The sequence below is a fragment of the Homo sapiens genome, chromosome 8, assembly GCF_000001405.40.
Source record: "Homo sapiens chromosome 8, GRCh38.p14 Primary Assembly".
NCBI classification, from domain to species: domain Eukaryota; kingdom Metazoa; phylum Chordata; class Mammalia; order Primates; family Hominidae; genus Homo; species Homo sapiens.
In genome coordinates, this window is record NC_000008.11 from 137,761,016 (window position 1) to 137,782,782 (window position 21,767).

The window sequence follows — 21,767 nt, forward strand, 5'->3', positions numbered from 1 at the left end:
AGGATGAGTCCCAGAAGGAGCAGGTCCCTCCATATCCTGAACTTTAGTTTCCTTTTTTATTGAACCAAGGTTCGTATACATGCCATAAACTCACAAGAAGGTTACAATGAGATACTGCAAAACCAGGTGCTTCACACATGTTAAATCTCTCTCCGCCTTCACTTTTCTCACCTTTTAGTTTATATCTAAGTAATGGAGAAAAAAAGCAATGTTGCTTTAGTGCTGCTAATTGGATACACACAATAGATGATTTTTTCTCTATATTTAATATGTTTCCAAACTCTAGAGTCAAGTATACAACTGTCTAACAGAATGTCTATCTCGCTATTTCTTAACATACTCAAACTAAGTATGTCCCAGACTGCCAAAGTGTACCACCAGTCTCTGTCCATAACTGTCCATACCCAGACACGTGAGTAAAAAACTTTAGTCTCATCTTCAAAATTCTTCTTCCTCTCAAATGTGATGCTCATTCCTAGGTCTTTAATTTGCACTTTTATTGTCTCTCTGGATGACAAGATTGTAATTTCAATTATCTCCAACTTCCTGCACAGTATCTGGCATAAAAGGTACATTCAAGTTTGTTCATTTGAATAAACTTTTGGTTTTCAAAGCTCAGTATAGGAAATACTTGTAGACTAATCACAAAGAAAATAAATTATGGTTTGTTGCTTGTCTCCAAAGAGAGAAAGTCAGACTGATGGAGATATATTCAGAGAAAGAGGCTAAAGAAACGATTTATTTCACTCAAGGGTGATGTTTACAACAAGTCATAAAATAGGTAATGTTCCTTTACATCTCCAATGAATGATTTGAAGAGAGCTAACTACATAGACAGTGTGGTTTTTCTCCCAATAGGGATTACATAGAGATTATAATGAATTATTTAATTCCAGTAATTCAACCTTAAAGCAGATCCAGTCACTTTTCCCTTAACAGTGTAATTAATGCTCCAGGAAGTATATTTCCCTGGATGTTACTAAAGATTTTACTGTACTAAAACTGGAGAATAGAAATGAGCAATTTGGAATGCTCTAGAATGTCAAAGGACTTTTTGGGTACATTTTAGATAGATCAGCCCTAAAAATGTCTCTCTCTGTTTCCATAGTGACTACAGAGGACAGAAATAAGGTTTTGTTGAACTGGTCTACATAGCTCGGCTCTAGTACCTATGGTTTTAGTCTTTCTTCAGGATTCTATACATTAAAAGAGGAGGCAGAACATTGGAGGACTATTAAGTTGGGCATTATCATGAGAGTTTATTGATCCTTTCTTCCAACTGTTACCAGATGAGATTCTGTGATATAACACACAGGGTGAAAATTACTGGAAATGCACACAAGGAAGCAGTTGAATTACAGGAGAGCAGGGCAAGAATCCCAAACCCAGACTTGAAACCATGGGGGTGTGAGAAAGGAGCTGAAGATGAGAAGATACTGTACATCAATGAGATTTTGTTCATACTGACCTTTCCCCAGAGCTGAGCTCTCAGTGCCCTTATTTTCCTGTACTCTCTTTTTTGGTGACCTCACTCTTTCTCATGTTTTTAAACACATGCTTATGTTCACAATTCTGATGTTTATATCTCCAGTTGAAACCTTTCACTGAATTTCAAAATCTCATGCCCAGGTTTCTGCCCAATTCCTCTGCTTAGACATATCTCACCAGCATATTAAACTTAATTTCAACACTGATCTCCTAAGAGAGTCTTGTCTTAAAGCGTCATCTTCCCTTAATAACTGCTCTTCCCGTCTTATTTAAAACAAGAAAATAGTACCATGTTTGGTCCATGTCGTCAAGCTATAAAACTGATAATCATCATTAACATCCTTCCTTTTGCAGCCCCATATCCAAACTTTACTTCCCTTTGTTGATTCTACCTCCAAAATGTCCTGAATCTTCCCACTTATCTCTACAACAACTGCCCCTCACTTACTCCAACTTGTCATTAGCTCTAACCTTGATCACTCCAATATCTCACTTTTTTCTATATTATCACTTTCATCCTCTTATAATCAATACTACGCACAGCAACATAAATAATATTGTAAAGAATCAATCCTTTTATACCAAGCCCAAGCTTAAGTTTGTTCAAGGGTTAAATAAACATGTTTTCACTTAAGCTAAATTCCAAAATCCCTATGTGACCCTTATGGCCCATATAGCCTGTCTTTTGCCTACTTTTCCAATTACACATTATTCAGCTCTCCCAGTATAATTCAGCAAAAGCGCCTTTATTTTTCACCAATCTCTTTCTCATTTTAATGGCTCTGGTGTTTTCTTTACCTAATATTCTCCTCTCCAATTATCTGTAAATCTGGCTCCTTTTCATACATTGCATCTCACCTTATACATCATCTACTGCAAGAAGTTGGCCATGACCACCATGAGTAGGCAGGCATTCAGCATTAGGAATTATCTCTCCCATGTGTTTCCTTCATCACGTTTATCACAAGGTACATGATTACTTCATTTTTCTTTATTGTCCCTCATCCCCAGTAAACTGCAAGCTCCATAACGGAAGATGTGTGGATATATATACAGTATACATTTACCGAGGTGAATAACTTGCAGAGACTCTGTCACATAGTAGGCACTGAGCACATATGTGAACAACAACTCATGGACATAATGAATGAATGAATGAATGAATGAATGAATGTCTTGCATTGATCTAGAAAGCTAGCTGCTCTTAAAAATATAAAGCCTTTATTCAATCAAATTTTACTGTATGCTTGTATTTAGGCCAGTGTGGGTGTTCCAGGTCATGAACTGCTGCTAGGATACTTTTCTTCACCAAGGACTAAGTCTCTTCTATCTCACGCCTTCCCCAATTTTAGATTCCCAGAATTGTCTCCATTCAACCTCTGGATGGAAACAGAGAGATCAATGTGAGAGATCACTATAGGGCAGACCTGGAAATGCATCCTGACTGCTCACCTTCCTCTGGACATGCCTGTCACATGACCCACCTCGTGACCCTACCTAACTGCATGTGGGGCTGGGAGATGTAGTCAAGCTCTGTATCTGGAAGGTAAAGAGAAGAGTTGGGTCAAAAATCTGACCATCTTCGACATAAAAATTTTAATTTCAGGGTGTGAAACCCTATGCTGCACCTTGATGTTTTTCTACAATTTCAAATCTATAGTTCATCAATCTCATGTGAACTCATGGTGTAAGCTAAAACTATTAGTCAATTATTTGGACATGTTTTCTACATATTTTCCAACATTGATCTTATTTTAAAATGTGTGTGCATAAGGGAGTGATTAAGTATCCAAAGTTGAGGTGGAAGAATGAATACTTTCTATTTATCCTTTAAGTTATATGCTTCAAGGCACGTAGTAAATGAGGAGAATTCCACAGCTCCCAACTTTGATTTGGGGAAGTCACTGGCTGCCTATTATGTAAGCCCCTAAGTGCAAAGTTCTCCCACATGCAAACATTTCTGATAATAACTTCAGATAATATCCTATGATAAAAAAAACCCTGACATCTGAGGAGGCAGTAGACAAGTGATTCTTTTTTTTTGTTCTTCTGGCAAGGACAACTCTGAGCACTATAATTATAATTGAGACTTCCCCTTAACAAAATCCACAAGCAATGAGAGTAATGAAAAGACACTAGGGAAGGAAAGATAATGAAAGAGCCCACACACAAAGCTCAGAGAATGTCCTTGGCAAAAGAATGTGAGTAGGAGATTAAGAAGTGCTTGAGAACAAAATAAAAAGGTAATACAATTAATTCTATGCTGGGGCAGCTGTTTTTGCTATTAAGAAAATTGAAGAAGATGTACTTAGCCCTTGGAATAGCACTTCAAATGTATGAGAGGAAAGACCCTGAGGGAGCTGAAGGCTCCATGCACTCAATTTTCAATACATGAGTGAGCACATGAATGAAGCAAGAGCCAGGGATGAGGCAGGCATGCTGTGCCAGCTAGTTCTTCAGGGTCCTTTAATGTTTCAGGATGCTCTGGAATATGGTCAACATAGTGGTGAGAACAGGGTGCAGACACTGTAAGTATGGGAGGATCAAAGGATCGATATCCTCAAAAAGGCCCCCTCAGTGAAGTCATATAGCAATGTTCTATTTTCACCTGGAGTGGTGTTAAGCCCAAGACTGAGATAAGGGTGATGGCACTAAAGCAGGACCTAGAATGTGGTTACCAGATGAAATAAAGGACACAATTTAAATGTGAATTTCAGATAAACAATATTTTTTACTGTCTCCAACATTTTATGAATCATCCTAGTACTAAAAATATCTATGTATGCATATATGTGTGTGGGGGTGTGTGTGTGTGTGTATATACACGCATATATATACACTTTACAAATATATATATAAAGTATACATATACTTTATATATATACATATATATACACTTTACAAATATATATATTTTACAAAATAAATACAAAGTATACATATATACTTTGTATTTATATGTATTTATTCTTGCTTACACAAATTTTCAATTTGGGGGGCAGCTGGTATTTATATTTGCTAAATCTGGAAACACTAAACTAGAAGATCTAAAGATTAGACCATGTCTTTGAAAAGACCTTTGAGTTTAAAACCAAAGCTCAGTATTGACATTTTTTCATAGGCTCTTACACCTGAGAAATAAGAGGCATCTCATGACTTACACTCAGGCACACAGTCACCTGAAGCATGTGTAGTTGTTTAGGTCAAGGTCTTTGCTCCATAATGCAGCATCCTCCCTTTTTGGAGCTCTGAACTGTGAGCATAGCTGGCACTGCAGGAGTTAGTAGGTGATATGATTTGGCTCTGTGTCCCCACCCAAATCTCCTCTCAAATTGTAATCCCCATGTATTGGAGGAGGGGCCTGGTGGGAGATGATTGGATCATGGGGGTGGATTTCTACCTTGCTCTTCTTGTGATAGGTGAATTTTCACAAGAGCTGATGGTTTTAAAGTCTGGCACTACCGCACCCCACCCTCCACTTCTCTCTCTCTCTCTGTCTCTCCTCTCTCTCTCTCCTGCTGCCATGTGAAGAAAGTTCTTGCTTCCCCTTTTGCTTTCTGCCATAATTGCAAGTTTCCTGAGCCGCATGGAACCATGAATCAATTAAACCTTTTTTCTTCATAAAATAGCCAGCTTCAGGTGCTTCTTTATAACAGTGTGAAGCCAGACCAATATAGAAAATTGGTACCAGGAGTTGAGACACTGCTATAAAGATATCCTGAAAATGTGGAAGTAACTTTGGAACTAAATGATTGCCAGAGGTTGAAACAGTTTGAAGGGCTCAGAAGAAGACAAGAAGATGTGGGAAAGTTTGGAACTTCCTATAGACTTGTTGAATGGTTTTGACTAAAATGCTGATAGTGATATGGACAATGAAGTCCAGGCTGAGGTGGTTTCAGATAGAGATGAGGAATTTATTGGGAACTGGAGAAAAGGTCACTCTTCCTATGCCTTAGCAAGGAGACTGGTGGCATTTTGCCCCTGCCCTAAAGATCTTTGGAACTTAAAACTTGAGAGAGATGATTTCGGGAAACTGGCAGGATAAATTTATAAGCAGCAAAGCATTCAAGACATGACCTGGATTTTTCTAAAAGCATACAGTCATGTGTATTCACAAAAAGATAGTCTGAAATTGGAATTTATGTTTAAAAGGCAAGCAAAGTGTAAAAGTTTGGAAAATGTACATCCTGACCATGTGGTAGAAAAGAAAAACCCATTTCCTCGGGAAAAATTCAAGCTGTCTGCTGCAGAAATTTGCATAAGTAAAGAGAAACTGAATGTTAATAGCCAAGACAATGGGGAAAATGTCTCCAGAGCATTTCAGAGATCTACATGGCAGCCCATCCCATCATAGGCCCAGAGGACTAGGAGGGAAAAATGGTTTCATGGACTGGGCCCAGGGCCCTGCTGCTCTCTGTAGCTTTGGGACATGGCACCCTGCGTCCCAGAGGCTCCAGCTGCAGCCATGGCTGAAAGGGCCAAGGTACAGCTTGGGCTACTGCTTTAGTGGAAGCTTCCACTGCCAAGGCTTGGGGCTTGCACCCTCTGAAGCAGTGCTCCTTTCAACACCCCTTGGTGTCAAGCTTGTAGGTGTGCAGAAGACAAGAGTTGAGCTTTGAGAGCATCCATCTAGATTTTAGAGGATGTATGGAAATGCCTGGATGTCCAGGCAGTAGTCTGCTACAGGGATCGAGCCCTTGTGGGTAACCTCTACTGTGGCAGTGCAGAAGGGAAATATGGGGTTGGATCCCCTACCACAGAGTCCCCACTGGGGCACTGCCTAGTGGAGCTGCAAGAAGAGAGCCACCATCCTCCAGACCCCAGTAAGGTAAATCCACTGACAGCTTGCACCATGCACCTGGAAAGGCTACAGACACTTAATGACAGCCCATGAAAGCAGCCAAAGGGGGCTGTACCCTGCAGAGCCATGGCAGTGGAGCTGCCCAAGGCCTTGGGAGCCCACCCTTTGCATCAGCTTGCCTTGGATGTGAGACATTGAGTCAAATAAGATTATTTCAGAGCTTTAAGATTTAATGACTCTCCCACTGGGTTTCAGACTTGCATGGGGTCTGTAGCCCCTTTGTTTTTGCCAATTTCTCCCATTTGGAACAGGAACATTTATGAACATTTACCCAATGCTGGCACTTCCATTGTATCTTGGGAGTAACTAACTCATTTTTTATTTTACAGGCTCATAGGCAGAAGAGACTTATCTTGGCTCAGATGAGATTTTGGACTTGGACTTTTGACTTAATACTGGAATGAGTTAAGACTTTGAGGGACTTTTGGGAAGGGATGATTGGTTTTGAAATGTGAAAAGTGCATGAGACCTGGGAGAGGCCAAGGGCAGAATGGTATGCTTTGGCTCTGCATCCCTACCCAAATCTCATCTTGAATTGAAATCCCCACAAGTCAGAAGAGGGGCCAGGTGAGAGATGTCTGGATCATGGGGGCAGATTTCTCACTAGCTGTTCTTGTGATAGTGACTGAGTTCTCACAAGATCTGATGGTTTTAAGGTGACACTTCTGCCCTCACTCTGTCTCTCTCTCCTGCTGAAGAAGGTCCTTGCTTCCCCTTCACCTTCTGTCAGGATTATAAGTATCCTGCCACCTCCACGGCCATGCAGAACTCTGAGTCAATTAAATCTTTTTTTTTTTTCCTCATAAATTACCCAGTCTCAAGTAGTTTTCTTAATAGCAGTGTAAAAACAGACTAATACACTGGGCATGGTTGCAGCCCTTTCCAACCAGTAAAAAAACCATAAAATCTCCTGAGAGGAGTAACCAAGGAGTAAAAATGCATAGAATCCTAAAAGAAGGAACCAATTTTATTTGGTATTGTACTGTTTGTTGTTTCTTAGAGGAAATAAAAGTTACCCCTTGAAATTGAAAGTATCTCTCTTATAAAACTATCTTGGTAGCTCTATAGTGTTCGTGACCCAGTGGAGCTCCAAGCACATCTGTGGAAGGTAATTCTTCACAGACACTGTGGGATTTCATTGCTGCTTTTGGGTTGTGCCTCAGCTCCTTCGGTAAATATAGCCCATTACATACTTTCTCCAAGAGCTGAATTATAGTAATTCAATTTTTAAACTCACAAAACATTTTGTCACAGAAATTAACCCAAAGGCTTTAAATTATATCATTTCTTGATAGATCACTTATATTTCTATTTTCTTGATTTCTTACTGGATTTTAAAAATAGTCCCCTTTGGTCTTTCACATGATCTTATTTAAGCCCCTTTCCCCTAGTGTGACTTTCTTTACAATAAAGTTATTGGGAAAAACTCATTAATTCATTGACAGAAGGTATTGAACTCCTGGGTGTTTGAACAGATATACAACAGTTGAGTTGAAGAGAAAAAATTGGAGGGAGAATAAGTGGTTCTTTGTTTGCAGAGATACAGTAGGACAACTGCATAGCTCATCTCTGTTGGTCATGAAACTAATCACGAAGAGGATAATGAGAACTAGAGTCTAAAGGGAGAGATTTGGAGACAGATGAAAGAGTAGGGCTTCTCATCCAATTAGCTGTGGTCAGACTAAAAGTGGTACAGAGACAAACTAACATTACAAACACCTTGACTTCATTTAGATATGGTTCCAACAATGTATCAATATACTGTACAAAAAGCAAAATCTATTCACATTTCTACATATTGATTTACATATTGTGGCAGCTGCTGTTAATGGCCAAGAAAAATCCCTTCAGCAAATATCACCCTATAACTTCTGATTGTGTCCTAGTATAACCACTTACAACTTTCTACTTGCATGCTTTCTTTTACCCTGGACCAGGCAGTCAGGCCATGCTAGGGAGTAAAACTCCTGAGACAGTCTTCAGCTGGTACTAACAAGTTAAGATAATTTTGAAGTATCTTTTATAAGGTCTCCCACAGGTTCCAACAGGACCAAGTGTCTGTTCCCTACAGCAAAAGTCTGCTCAAGAAAATAGTGCCTGCATGGGCTTTCTCCTCTACTTAGTATCACTGTTAGTTTGATGGAGGTTTCTTTGTAGGTGAGAAGACATTTTTATCTTGCTGGTTTTAGAATTCTCTGTTTATCTTTGAGTTTAGACACTTTGAATATAATGCACCATATAGAAAACCGTTTTGTATTAATCTCGTTGCTGGTGTCGGAGTATCCTTTATTTTAATATTTAAATTTCTTGCTAGACTTGGGAAGTTTTCATTTATTGTTTGATTATTATTTTTTTACTCTTTCATTATTTCTTTGGCCTCTGAGACCCCAATCAATTAAATAATTATTCACTCTATAGTGTCCCATATGTCATATATGCTTTGTTCATTTTTTAAAAATACTTTTTCTCTATATTATTATCTGGCTGGTTTATTTAAACAGACCTGTCTTGAAGTTCTGAGATTCTTTCTTCTGTTTAGTCTAGTGTATTGTTGAATCTTTGGGATGCATTTTGTATTTTATTCAATGAATTCTTTAGTTCTATAAATTCAGTTTGGTTCTTTTCTTATGATAGCTATCACTTTGGTGATTTTCTCATTCACATTTGGAATTATTTTTTCTGATTTATTTGTTGTATTTTTCGGAATTCTGTTGTATTTCTCTGAGCTTATTCAGAATCAAAAATTTGAATCATTTTTCTAGAATTTTGTAATTATTTTTATTAAGATCTGTTGCTGGAGAATTATTGTGTTCCTTTGGAGGTGTCATATTTCCTGGCTTTTCCATGTTTCCTGTTTCCTTAGCTGATATCTGCACGTCTGGTATAACAGTTACTTCTTCAAGTTTTTAGAATTTATTTTTGTAGGAGAGGACTTTTTCCTGAGGATGTATCTATTACGTTTTTTGGGCAGGGCAATTTGGCTTTGATTCTGAGTGTGTGCAAGAGTGTAGTCTCTGTGTGATTTATTTACCTATAGACATTTGTGTTATTTGCAATTTCCTTAGTGGCTTAGGATACAGTTATAAGTGGAAGTTGTGGTAAAGTTGAGTAGAGATTAACATACCAGGTAGACCAGACTTTGATCTCTAATGGTGGCAGTAGTGAGCTGAGCATGCCTATCTTTAGGGTGGTGTATGCTGGCACCTGTGTTAATAGGTACAGTCAGGATGATTCTTGACCCTCCAGGTGACTTACTTAGATGTTGGTAGTAGCATAGTAGCATCAGTGAGCTCGGTGGGTAGATGGGCTCTCAGGCTCTGAGAAGCTGGCAATCGCAGTGGCAAGATAACCTTCTGGTTCTTAAGTGGTATGCACTGGTGTTGGCAATGGCTGTGATGGACTGCATGGACCAGTCTCTAGTTCCACATGTGGCATAAGCAGGTAGGTGCCAGCTAAGATGGCAGTGGCTGTGTGGTTAGGCCCAACGTCAGGCCCCTTGGTAAAAGTTTAGAAGCCAACACTGGTTGACAGGACTGTGTGATCCCTTGGTTCCTGGACTGTGTGCTTTGGTCTGGGGGTTAGGGGTAAAGGCAGCCCAGAAGGCCTTGTCCTCAGGCCTCCTGATGATGTGTGCAACTGCCAGCAAGGACAAGGTAATCCCCAGGCTACCTGTGGAATTCATGGCCATGCTGCTGTTCTGCCACCGTAAAGAGCAGAGGTACTGGCCGGTAGAGGATGCACACACCACTCACGCCTCAGCTTTGGTGAGTGGCACACTTTAGGCCTGATGTAGTAGCTGGTGCCTTGGAAGTGTCTTAGCTCTGAAAGTTGTAGCACATGATCATTCATATCTCAGCCCTGAAGGTAATAGTCCATGCTTCTCTTGTGCCTCAACCTCAGAGTCAGTGGGCTCTAGGAGATTACACATCTGTTGGGGTGGGGCTTTAAAATGGTGCCTTGCTGCAGCTGCTTATGTCTCAGGGAGTGTGGGGGACCTGCAAATCCTGTCTCTTGGAGCAGTCCCCTCACGCAATTGTTTGGAAGTTCCCTATGTTAGGGAGCTATCCAATACTCGGGAAATACTCACACTTAATTTAATTAATTTTAGGGCCAATGAGGGTCAAAGAACTCTCCTGTTGCTAGAATTGCAGCTGTCCATGGGGAGAATGTGGACCACTGGGGTCTCTCACTCACTTTTTCCTTGTATTAGGGAGTCTCTCAAGGCTTCCAGCCAATCGCAGGTGAGCAGGCAGCCTCTCTTCCTTCTCCTTATTTGCTTTGGGTATTGCCTTCGACTTTATGTTAAATTTCAGGGTTCTCTCTTAGATGATCTATCTGAAGTGGAATTATCTACCCTCTATTTTGGTTCCTTTTAGTGGACAAGGTTTTCATCACCCAAATAGTCTTACTCACAACCTCCTTAGACGTGTTAATTAATTATAGCATAATCTACCTCTTTTCCTATTGTGGAAACTGTAATGTCATCTGCCTTGTTTGGTTAAGGCTGTCACGTGAGGAAATCATCATTCCCTATCAGCTGCTTTTTTTCAATTCAATCCCCAGACAGTAGGTAAATTTAATATACCCTACTGTATTACATGTTAGGGTTTTGGCTTCAGCTTCAGTAAGCACTTCTACACTGCTGAGATGGATGGAGTCACACTTTAGCCCCCTAGTGAATAACAACTATGAAATCCTATCTTCCAAGCCTCCTTGTCTACATTCTACTTACTTTCTTTGTGGTGTTTTAAGGAATAAGGCAAAAATTGCCTCTTTCCAAGCCAGAGAGGGTCTCAGGTCCATCTGACTGCAGTTGTCCTACAGAAAAAAAAAATAATAATAATTCAAGTTTGTTCAGAAGTAAGTGATTACCATTACAGACAGCCAATGGTAAAGCAATATTTATAAACACACACACACACACACACACACACATACATACACACATACATACACATATATACACATACATACACATATATACATACATACACATATATATACATATATATGTGTATGTATGTGTGTGTGTGTTTTACATCTGAAATATATTTCTGAGTATGAACCAACTAGGCATGTCAGCTACTTCACTATAATCTTTAGGACTAACGAAATTTCTTCTCCTTAGCCTTGGAAGGAAGTGAGAATGGGGAGGGTAAAGCAGTTCCTTGTCTTTCCTAGAGATTGATGTGGTAATGAGTTCTTTTTGTTTTAATCTCATCATTACAGCCAAAGTCACCAAAACATGAATGTCAAAACATTGTCTTTAAAGACAGTGAGTAAGGTTTGTTCATCACCCTATCACATAGGCAGCTATTAGAGAAAAGAAGAATGAGTAAATAATTGCTTAAATAACTGTGCTCAGTTCTAATTGCCATTGGACATCTGGACCATCTCCAGAGGAAATCAGGCAGCTACTGAATGGTCTAGAAACAGAGCCAGATGATAGACCTAAGGATATTTAGCTTGGGAAAGACAAGGCACAGGGGAGACACAAGAGCTATCATCAGATACTTTAAAGACTGTTGTGTATAAAAAGAATTAGCCTTATCTTGAGAACAAGAGTCAATATGAGACAGCTAATATGAGAGAAGGCAGATTATAACATTATTTATAACTTCAGCAAATAATTATTTTTAACTGTCACATAGGCATGCATGCATGAAGTTGTCAATATTAATAAGATGAGATATTTGCCATTGTAGACCCTTTAACATAAAGTTGAAGATAGACAAATAAGTCAAAAAAATTAATAATTAAAAAGTATAGAATCTTTGAAGTTTATTCCAGACTATTATTAAGTTGGTAAAAATGCAAACACATATATCTTTCACTTATTCCAAGCACACATTCTTGAGTATCTTGATATATTGAGTCCCTTTTATTGAGTAATGCCCAGTACTATTCCTATGATGATATAAAGATATAACTTTACAGTCCTTCCCTTTAAAGATGAACACAGCCAGGAAGGTAAGACATATGTGCCTTAAATGGGAAGTCTCATATGCAAGTGATATATTTATCAGAAATATATTTAGGATTACATATAAAATGTTTGTGGTCCTAAGTGTCCAAAAAAACGAGAGACTCACTATGGTCAAAAAATTCAGAGACGCTTCACGGAGGAGCTGGGAGTCAGGCTTGACTTCAGGGTAGAGTGAGGTTTATTAGATGGAGAGAAAAGAGAAGCTGCTGTAACTAGCAGAATCCCAACAGGACCATAATGCCATGAAACAATCTGTGGTTCGTGGCAATAATCAGACACAATGAATGCTGCCCCTGGAAGAACTGGCATGCCAGGCCATTAAACCCTATTGACTACTTAGCACAATTTCTGTGCCCGCTTTGTGAGGCCTCAAGCAACAGAGAATGGTGGTTAAGATTGTTATGAGTACAGAAGGGAGAGTAGGCACACAAGCCACCATCCACGGTAAAAAAAAATGTGTGTGTGAGTGTGTGTGTGTGCAGCTGTATACAATTTTGTAAATGCATATACACATATGTGTACATATGCATCATATAATAAAAATACAAATATATATGATAATGATAGATATATGATTTAGATATATTTATGTATGGAATAATATACTGATATAACACTCTCTTATTATAGTTCTAGCTATAGGTTATAAGAAGTTGTTCATCTAGATGTAATCAAGAGAACTGAAATTGCTAAAGAAAAGAATTTTGGAGAGGAATATTGACTATCACCTATAGCATTTTATACTGGGAAGGTGTTCTGTCACAACACATGCCAGATTATGTCTGCTTCTTGAGTAAATGGTAATTTTGTTATCTTTTTGCTTATTTCTATTTTCTATCATTCTACAATAAACATTGTTATTAATGAAATAAATAAGAAAATATGTATTTATAAGAAATACATTGCATAATGTTGTATAGTGTGTAAAAAATTTCAATACATTCTCATTTATTTAACTTGTACGACATTCACAGCATTTGTCCAAGGGGAAATTTGGTATTGGTTATCTCGCTGACCTGCCATGCACAGACCTAGTAGGCATCAGACTAAAAAGGCAACTACCCACAGCCTGTAAAAGAACTGGCCCACCTCTATTGTGCCATTTTCAATGAATAGAGAATCAGCTCTGCCAGCCAGACTGTCAGAGTGGAGTGGGGTGGATTTTCCTCTCTGGGTGACTCCACGGCTGCCCTTGCTGTGACGATCTGATAACCTTCTTTCTCTTCAAGTGCAGAGAGTAGCAGAAACATGTAGGATCAGATAGGAGAAAATGGATTTTGACAAGGCATTTTCAGGTTTTCAAAAGGCAGGTCTTCATTCTGGCCTGATGTTTCATCTGGATTTGTAATCTCCCCATTATGAGAAAATCAAAAGAGGTCATTTGGAGAGGTTTTATCTTCTTCTTCTGTAAAGTCCTTACGAAACATTTATGAGTTTTCTGATGATATCAAACCAAGCTTTCTTTGCCATTCTTCCTTCCAAAGCTATGCCCTTCAGAGGTTCCTGGTTTATTCCAGTTGATAGTGAATATGACCTACACTGTCTTTTGAGATTAACTCATTAATGATGAAGGTTTCCCCTTCTGCAAATCTCTCAATCTCTACTATTCCTAACTTTCTGAAATAACTAGTGCTGAATTTATCAAGTGCAGCTGCTTAATTTTAGAGGTTAATTCTCTACAGCAATTGTTTACTTTGCAATTAACCCTAAATATGAGATAGCGTGCAAACACTGAAATAAAAACTGGGGTTTTTATGAGATTAAAATTAGATTTTCTCTCTCTTACTAGTTGCACGTTCTTGAACATGATTCAACATTTCTTAGTCTCAGTTTCTTCATCTGCATACTCTAGGTAGAATTAAAGCTCACAGACTTCTGCTGTAGGAAAGAACATTTTTGCAAGTATTTTGTTAATATGTATGAGCTACTTAAATATGAAAAAAATATCAATATTAGTAACTTAATTTTTCAAATATTTATTATCTACCACATGCCCGAGCCCTTGCATCTGTAGTGTGATCATTCCATAGATGAATATGGTTACAAATACTTAAGATCTCTGAAAGAAAACACAAGAACAAACTATTAAATTCAAATAAGTCAGAAGTATAAACACCAGTAGAAAACTGTTGATAAATCAATATAATAAGAAAGAAAAATAATTTAAAAATTAATTGAACATCTACTATGCACAAAAATTTAAAATATTGTTTCAATTCTTTCTTATAATCATTCAGTTTGGCAGATAGCATTATTTTACTGTTACTAATGGAAAAAGGAAGTGATGTTAGGGAATATTAACCTGTCCAAGGTGTAGGAATAGAATTTTAGTAAGTTATATCCAACTCCAAACATATTTTTTCTATTTTTTCCTACCACACTATAGTCTTTATGTTGTTCATCTGTTTTGTGTAATATGACACCATAAAAAAATCTTTCTCTTTCTCTCTCAAACACACACACATAATACATATATTTTATATATTATAAATATATATACACACAATATCATATAACATTATATTCATAAAGGCTCTGTGTGTGTATACACACATACTTATATTAAGACACAATATAATTAATATAAATAAAATATACATAAAAGACATAAGTAAAGATTCACAAAATAAAACTGAAAACAAATTGTGCTCAATTAAATTTAAATTCAACTCCATAATAAATTAAATTTTTTTTTGAGACAGAGTCTAGCTCTGTCTCCCAGACTGATAAATTAAATAAATTCTTAACATACTACAATAGCTTCCTTCAAAATTAACTAACTTTTAATTTCAAAACACCGTGTATTTTGCTTAACAGTTTTCTGTTTTGTCTGTGTGTGTGTGTTAACTATTCACATTCATATTAAAATTTGAGATTCCCATGAGAAACAAAAAGCAGAAAGTTATATGCTTGCTGTTTTCATAAGAAGAGAAATGTATAAAATTGAAGCTAAGTTTTGAACAGTGTATTAAGTTTACCGTAAACAATCATGAAGACTTAATGTAAGAAGAACTATAAGAAAACAGTAATTTAATAGTGCTAAGTTTTGAAGTACTAATTAAATCTTAGCTAAACCCTGTTGTAAAGAAGCTTCTGTAGTAAATGTCTTTTCACAAACTTTTCATTACCCAGTCTCCAGATTCCAGAAGTCTATATCTTCTTCTTTCAAACCCGGACGGACTCTCATGACTGACTTGGCCAAAGCAGTATGAAAGATATCCAACTCTAGGTCAAAATATTCTGTGCGCTTCTCCCTAGGTATTTTTCTTTAGGCGGGGGCGGGGGGGTGCCAGAGAAGATGGGAGAGTGACTGACTCCTAAAACACTAGCCACCATGTTGTGAGAAATCTCCAGACGTCTTTAGAGGAGCTGACATGGAAAAGAAACAATACACAAGCCACATTCTCAGCTGGGCTTCTGGGCAATAACCAGCACCAACTTGCTCAGCCTTGCAAGGTCACCATCTTGAAAGTGGATCCTTTACCCTCCAGTTAAGTGCCCAGGCTGATGCTGTGTGGAGGAGCGACAAGTTTTCCCCATCACACCCCACCTACATTGCAGATGGATTTATAGGCAAACTAAGTAGTCATTCGTGCTTTAAGCCACTAAATTTTGAGATGGATTGTTACATAATAGTAGGTGACTTATTCACTTTCTAAGAGAAATGCTCTACAGAGACTCAAAGTCCGTAGACCAAAGTCTACAGCGACTATAGCATGATCAATTTTCATTTATTTACTAATTTTTGTATTAATGGTGCTTTCTAAACCAAGGTTTTCAAAACAGGGATTAAGTGTGTTCTTGTTTTATCCCCTGGTTACAGCACTGTACATTGGAATTTTTTTTCAGTACGTATGTTCAAAGACTGACATATGCTCACCCTTGCCAAATTATGTACTGGGAAACATGAGTTCAGAAAAAAAGATGATGAGTTCTTCAGGAACAAAGGTTCAATTCTCTACGAGATTTAGGAAAGATATGGAGAATCAAAACACTTATTTTATATAGGTAACCTATGAGAAGTCTTATAGGATAGGACTTTTAAATTTTGTTTAATACTTAAGCAAATATTTTGATCAACAAATTTTACTTTTATTACTCACTCTTACAAATGATATTATTACATAATTGCTTTACAACAAACTACACATATTTGAGTTTTACAATTTGGTAAGTTTTATCATATTCATGCACCTGTGTGACTACAATCACCATCAGTATAATGAACATATCTATCACCCCCAAAGCTTTCTCCTGTATAATCCTGTATAATCAATCCCTTTTGTAATTAAAATTCCTCTCTCCCACCTGTTACCAGCCCCTATCTAGGCAACCACTGCTCTGCTTCTTTCACTATTGTAAAAATGAAACCAACTGATGAAGTGAGTGTCTGGGCATGATGCACTGAGAAGGACATATACATTCTCTCTGTTGTATTATTGACAAAAATATTTAACTGAATATAATTATGAGAAAAAATTAGATAAAATTTAGAAGATGGGTAGTTCTACAAAATAGACATCCTGGACTTTCCAAAAATAGTAGTATATTGAAAGACCAAAAAAGATGAGAACACTATTTTAAAACTATTTTAAAGAAGATTAAAGTTATATGGTAACCAGCTACCAAACAGGATAGTTGTTTGAATTTTGAAATAAAAAATATAAATAACAAATTTGAACAGTTAGTAACATTTGAATATGAGTTATCTTCTAGGCAGTATTATTGCTTCAGTGTAAAATTTCTTAGTATATGAGTGATTATGTGGAGAATATCCTTGCATCCAAGAGATGAGCTCTGAAATATTCAGGAATGAATGTCATGACATCAGAAAGTTTTTTTTCAAATCAAGAGGCAAATACAGTAAAATGTTAAAATTGACCGATACAGATAAATTTTGGGGGGATATTTGTTGTATTATTAAATTGTCTATACATGGAGATATTTTAAAACAAAAAGTAATTAAAAAGCTGTTATTTATCAGTAGTCTTAGTTGAAAGCAACTGAGACCTAATCTAGCTAATTAAAACAGAAAATAATGTATTAGAAGTTATTGGGTAGTTCACAGAAGCTCTGAGAAGGCCAGATAGTTAGGTGTGGAACTTCACCACCAGAAACAATGCCAATGAGCTCATTTCATGAAGATAGCGTCACTGATTATCCTGGGAATAGACAGTGCTGCTGACACCACATCTGAGCAAGGACAGAGCTGCTCAATCCACCACCCCTGTGCCCACGGGAAGAAGCTGCTCTTTTTTTTGCCAGAAAGGATTATGCAGAGTTTCCAGGTTCTGAGACAATGTCCAACTTACATCCAAATGATTAGCTAAGCTTTATCATAGGTTCCCAGGAGCCCAAGAAAGCAGAAATATGACTTCTTGCACAGTTAGAGGTGGTTTTTGCCTTGTGCTAAAACTCACAAAGTAAGGCGGTCAATTAAGCAAGAAAGGGAGTTGGCATGCTGGAGGGATGTCAAATGACAAAGGCCCAAATGACAATAACCTTCACCAGTAACTTCAGCGTGACCCTCAGGTAACAGGAATCTGACTTATGGTATGATTTTTGGAAAGTAAACAATTAAACTGCTCTTTGAGGTTTCTACATGGTATAGGACAGCTAATCAGGACAAGAAGCAAAATAGGAATTGGGACCTGGGAGCTTTTCAATGAATAGCGATTGATCTGCTTATTGGCCTGGAGACTGCCTCAGCCATGGATGATGAAAATAGACCTCAAATACCAAATAAAACTACAATACGCTATTGTACTAGGATTAGTGTTGGGATTGAGAACACTCTCCTGATTCTGGTTGTATCTTCTCTTGATAGATGAGATGGACATTTTAGGACCAGGCTAATCTTCCAGGGTCTTTTATAGCTTCTTTGTGTTTACCATAGAATAAACTCCCTTACCTCCTCTCACTCAACAAGGAGCCATCAGCACCTCCTGGAGTATCTGTCAGTCTCATGAGGTCAGAGGCCATGTCTGTTTAAGGGTTCACCTTCACACAAAGCCTCATTGGCCTGGCAGCTACCATGGCTGAAGGAAGCGATTGCTCACCTGAAAGGGGTCAACATGGTGAAGCTTTTCCCACCCACTGCAGTGAGACTGGGCTTTTCCCTACAGGCTTTCCCCTTTCATGGTTTTGCAAATATCTCCTCTAATCCTGGTCTTTTAGGTATGTTTTCTATTATAATTGTAAGCTTTTTAATAAAGCAGGGTATTATGTCTTTTTCCTTTGCATCTCATGTTCCTCTACCATAGGAGGCACACAATAAACGTTTGTTGACAAAACACCACCAAGAAAAACAAAACCACACTGAAACAAAATGTTATCTTTAACATGATTTTTCCATTCTTATTTAGAGTATAAAATGAATACAAAATTTCCAGAGATTTCACCCAAAATTCTAGAGGTTGCATAATTCTAATAGATTGCTACTCTCATAAAGTCAGTTCAGCAAACTTTCTTGTTCAGCCCATTATGAACAAAGCTGTTGTTGTAAGTTGTATGTGCTTTATTTTATGTGTGAAAAACAATAAAGACTTATCTTTCAAGATTATAAACTTATTTGGAAAAATATACTTGTCAAATACCATATTTATACTCAGCTTTTAATTAATGTCAGAAACTGTTTTAATACATAGTACCACGCATTCATGTGACCCTCATAACAACCATATGAGTTGATACTTTTATATTAATACCTCAATTTACTGATGAGAAAAATGAAACACACAGACATACACAGCTAGTAATCTAAGAATTCTAGCATTAGAAGCCAGGCAGTCTGACATCAAACTGGAACAGGAAAAGAATATTAGAGAAAACTAAAGAAATCTGAGCAAAATATACATTTTAGTTGATAATAATGCATTGACATTGGTTCATTAGTTGTGCTAAATGTACCATGTGAGATGTTAGCAATTGGGGAAACTGGGTGTGGGGTATGTGAGAATTCTCCACGCTATCTTTACAACTTTTCTGCAAATCTAAACTCTGCTTAAGTAAAAAGTTTGCTCAAATAAAAAAAAAGGAGAAAGCAATGAAAATAATAAACTTTCCAATAAAATTTATACAGGAAACATTATTTGAACCTGCATTATATAAATGCATTGAAAAATCCTTAAAGTATACGTAGCTAAGAGTTTACCAGTGTTTAAGGAGGGGCTCCATATATTTCTATATAATCTAACCATTTTATAATAAGAATTTTTTTTGTATTTCACATTTACTTTGGGCAATGCTTATAAGATGATAAAGGAGTTTCGAAATGCGTCATATTTAAAATTTATAGAGAGGAGTAAGAGAAAAACATTCTGGACAGCAACAACATTATAAGCAACAGGTCAAATTTACAATGTGACTTACTCAATATCTGGAAAACATGTAGCTATGAATTCTCTTTTTTATGCCTATAATTTGGTCATGTTCTACTAATGAATTTCCACTCCCATCAACTTTTACCATAAATTCAAGCTGCCTCATATGAGGTCTATGTAATCGAAAATGCACCTGCTGTACTGAAATCCTGGGCAGGGTGGGGGACACGGCCATGGATATAATCAAGAAGCATCAGTCACCTTGGCCAATGGCAAGCAGCCTTGGATATGGAGTAAGTGTAAAAGCCCCTTCTGACAGATGTGTTTTTCAGATTCTTCATTTATATCTGGGAAGTCGCTGTAAAATTGGCATTTGAGCAATAACAAGACTTTGCAATTCTCTCTTTGGGATTGGAGATTCATGAATTATGCATGTCTATGCAGATTTTTCACCTGTGACAGCTGTAGTATGGGCAATTTCTCTAATATATTAAGAAAACCAGCCATGATACCAGTAACGGATGTAAATGAAATATTCCCATCAGTTAAGTCAGTTTATTTAACTATTTCACAACAGCATGTGTGGTGAGAGAATGCCGAGCATGGAAATCCGTTATTGATGAGAATCTTACAAATAGCAGCCCCTGATCATGAGATTCTCAGTTAAAAGATGGACAGGTTGTTGCTTGCTTACTGCTTCATTTATGTATTGTTTTCTGCTGAACCATACCACCTGAGCTGTGGCACATCCCATGTGAGAAACCAGCTGGTTAGCTCTGCAGAGCATTTCTCTGAGAGATCAGACAGATGTCAAAAAGGGATAAAAAAATTATCTGTAACCAGCACCCCCTCTGAATGCATTGGCAGGCAAGGGGTTATAACTTGATGTGTTTTGGATTTCAGGCATTTGGGTCTCCTAATTCCTCGTATTGAGGCTCCTCATTCTCTGTCATCACTTTTATCTGGCAAAGTCCTAAGTAAATTACATTTAGGGAAATTAGATATTGCTTTTGGTACCCTAGTGAACTATGCATGCTAAAGATTAAGAAAAAATTTTCACAGTAAGAGAACTCTGGACTGGGAAAATAGGAATCTCATTTCTTGCCATGACTGTGGAATTGACCAGCCACATGCCTCCCGAGGGAAGTCACTTGACTTTGCTGTGTCCCACTTGCCTTATCTAAATGTAAAGCAATAGGACTTAGTTATATTCCAATAATGAAATGCGCCAAGCCTTTCCTCTGACTATTTACCAAAGAAATGTTGACTTCCAAGACTGAAACAATTTGAAATGCACTCTGCTTAAATGTTTGCTGCTCTTCATTTCAAATAGCTATACTCTGCAGTCCACAGGGATGATAACAATGCCTCATCTTTATAGTCTGTTTCTCTTCCCTCAGGTTGTCCCCTTATTATTCCATGTGCTGTATCAGATCACACCACCAACAGACCTGAAGACATAGCCAGTGTCCTCATCATTTTTCACACAAAAAAAGAAATCCAAATACAGAAGGAACCACATCATGTGCTGCATTGCGGCTTCTTCTCCCTGCTCTCTCCTTCTCTCTACTTGGTATACGTCAGTGTGATTGCCCTTAGTGTCTTTTTGTCCTAAACCAAGAGGGCACCATCTGACTCTCCCATTGTGCAGTGGGCGTATCCTTAATGTCTGCTTGTCCTAACCCAAGCGTGCACCATTTGACCTTCCTGCTGTGCAGTGTGCATGTCCTTCATGCCTGATTGTCCTAACCCAAGAGGGCACCATCTGACCCTCCCACTGTGGACTGTGCTTATCCTTCATGTCTGCTTGTCCTAACCCAAGAGTGAACCATCTGACCCTCCCACTGTGCAGTGTGGTCTGTCTGTCCCACCCCTCTACCACATCTCTCATGGGTAGAGAAGCATCTTGCCTTTCTATCCCTTCTGTAATGGTTAGGCAAAGCAGCAACGGCAACAACAACAGTGACAAACAACAACGAAGGTCCTCTGTCTTGGTTCAGTAGGGATGACTGTGTAGAAATGGCCAGTTATTTATCTTGCTTATGCATATATTAAAAAACAAAGTGAATCCATGTGAGTTTTTTAAAAAAAAATTAGGCTGGGCGCAGTG

General features: G+C 37.9%; 1 long non-coding RNA gene across 1 annotated transcript; it reads left to right on the plus strand.

Annotated features, from left to right (window-relative positions):
* Positions 1-2,864: 2,864 nt before the first annotated feature.
* Positions 2,865-21,097, plus strand: LOC105375776 (uncharacterized). Its single transcript, XR_928695.1, has 3 exons — positions 2,865-3,034; positions 12,966-13,135; positions 21,058-21,097. It is a non-coding gene; the product is annotated as an uncharacterized LOC105375776 (long non-coding RNA).
* The last annotated feature ends 670 nt before the right edge of the window (positions 21,098-21,767 follow it).